Source organism: Homo sapiens, chromosome 3, assembly GCF_000001405.40.
Source record: "Homo sapiens chromosome 3, GRCh38.p14 Primary Assembly".
NCBI lineage: Eukaryota > Metazoa > Chordata > Mammalia > Primates > Hominidae > Homo > Homo sapiens.
The window spans coordinates 137,919,494-137,922,184 of NC_000003.12; the positions used below are offsets into that span (position 1 = coordinate 137,919,494).

At 37.4% G+C, this 2,691-nt stretch overlaps 1 annotated feature.

Annotated features, from left to right (window-relative positions):
• Window positions 576-1,773: an enhancer, noted in NCBI's record as "VISTA enhancer hs843". NCBI's record gives its function as "enhancer in: branchial arch[3/4] | nose[3/4]" and the evidence as "EXISTENCE:transgenic organism evidence [ECO:0001131][PMID:17130149]".

A 2,691-nucleotide genomic window follows, 5' to 3' on the forward strand; every position in this document is an offset into this window, starting at 1 on the left:
CCAATTTAACTCTCAGAGAGTGTTATTATTTCCATCACTTTCAAGTTTTGTGGAGAACCAACTATAGAACCAAGTCATTAACATTTTATTTTTTCAAATTAGTTTGTCGTGCATATAAATCTTAAAGAAGGGTCAGAGATTTTGGAGGAAGAGTCACAAAATGGTTAAGAAATATGAATACAGTTAACCTGAAAAACTCAGAACAGAGTTTTAGATATGTAATCCACGTTATCTTTAGAAGGTGAAAAACTGAGCAAAAAGATAAGACCGAAAATGGAAAACTCACTTTAAATAATCATGATAACCCATATGCTATCTGTGTTGCACATTCATGTATGTGATATATAGAAATAGATATGGAAACCACATTGGAATTGGAGGTAGAGATAGACATGGACATCACAGAGAACAGGCTCAGAAAGAGTGGGAGCCACTGCGTATGGGTACCTTCACAGCACCTAGACCACTCCACTTGGGGTAACTTGACAACTACAACAGCTACATTTCACAACAGAGCATTTGCCAGTCTGGAAAGAGCTAAAAACCCACTAAAACTCCTGCCTTGGTTTCTCATACTCTATCAGAGCCAACAGATTCATGCCCTCATTCAAGTGAAAGATAAAAGACAAGGCCTTTTCCTTGTCAGAGAATTAAATGGTAAATACAAGTGTTTAACTCTTCTTCAACCTAAAATGGGGGAGAAGGGGAGAAAAACTATTTTGTCCATAGACAAACAGGGAAGACATGGAGAAACTTCAAGATTTGGGAGCATTAAAAGTGATGCAAAGCCCATTTAATGGACACCCCCGGAGCTTTTTTTCCCCCAAGCACCGCAATTGATTGCCACGAGATTATGATGCCATTAAAATTCACTCTGCCCATAAACTAATGCTGCGGAAAATGCTGACGTTTATAGCAGTTCCTACAAGGGACATATTTCAGTGTGAAAGTAAGTCCTAATGTAAGAACTTTATCTCAGTAAAGCAACATCTAGGATGGGGGGAAGGAGGAGGAGGAAGAGAGGCTGTCCAGAGTGCTGTGAGTTTTATTTCTCTCAATAATGGGTGTATAGATGCTAAATTTCGAAGACTTTTTAAAATAAATCTATTGCCCTTTGACAAAATCAATCCAAACCCCATAAACCAAGAAGTCATCCACTTGATATTAATGAGCCCACATTTGCATTTATTTGTCTCTTACACTAGACAAACCATTAATTTCATGTTTATGTTTCCTTTGAAGTCTGAATGCTCATAGATAGATGGCCTCATCGAATCTCCTGCTGGTACATTAATATTTCGCTATAAATGATAAATTTTATCATTTTCCACAACACCCCTTTTTACTTTAAGAAAGCTGTGAAAATACAAGCAATAAGTCTTAAGGTCTGAAAGCACAGCTTTTTTTTTAATACTCTTCAGCAGAGATCATTAAAATAGTGATATCTTTAACATCAAGATACCTTTGATGGCCTCTAGGACTTAGAAACCAACATGATATATATCTCATCAACTCATCAACCTTTCTTGGGTAAAAGATGGTTCATTTGGCTAGGGCTGGCGTGCAGGTCCACTCTTGACCAAGACTCAGTGCCTAAAGTTTTTACAGAATTTATCTGACAATATTTTCATTTCAAATATGAGCCTAATTTATTGGTATTCAAAGGAAAAGTATTTTCAAAAGATCGAGGCAGAAATGTCCACCACCAGCCTTGTGTTCTCACTTGGTAGGGCATAGGAATGGCAAAGTACCAAGTAGAGGGTCAAGGAGTTCTAGATTAAATGTGTTAAATATTAATAATATACAATGCATTAAGCCATAAAGATGCTCACAGTTTGGTTCTTCTATTTGATGATGATGATGATGATGGCAATTGATAAATATTTATTGAGCTCTTTCTGCATGTCAGACACTGAGCTATAGGCTCTGGAACCATCCTCTCAATAATTCTGGGAAGTAGTTGCAACTGTTATTCCCAGTTTATAGATGAGAGAACTGAAGCTAAAAAGGGTGTAAATAATGTGTCAAAGGTGTAACTGTTATTTAGAATGGTAGATCCATTTGCCTCTTTGCCACTGTGCTGTTACATTCAGATCCACCAAGATCTCCTAAGGATGGTTCTATAAATGCCTGAAACCTTTCATTTAGGTCTATACCATCCCTTTTAATTCTGCTGTCATAGTAGAGTTAAGAAAGAGACCCTAGAAAGGAATTTCCAGGTGATTAACTTTGGTGACATCACCTGTAGTCAGCCTGAATCAGGAGCATGGAAGGACTGGAGCATCTCTCAACCTTTGGTCTGGAGCATCTTATGGGCACATTCTCTCCCTTCTCCTGTCCTTCAAGCAGCCTCTTTTCCATTACTGGCAGCTCCACAAGTCCAGTCTCACCCACAGACTGTCACTCAGCTTTCTCAGATGTGTTCTGTTTCTCTTCCTCAACCCCATCACCTAAGTGTACTTACCCTTTGCTTATATGTATAAAGTTTTTACTATATTTCATATTTTGCTTTGATGTTTCATTAAAATTAATGTGTAGCTTTTTTATATATCTTATAAATATGCATTCACACCCTTTTTTTAGATTAATATTACACATTTCTTTTGAGGGAGGATGGGCAGGAATTCTATCCTTGACCAGAATCCCCATGTTCAAACTGATTCCATAAAAGAGACTATTTGCATTAGCTAA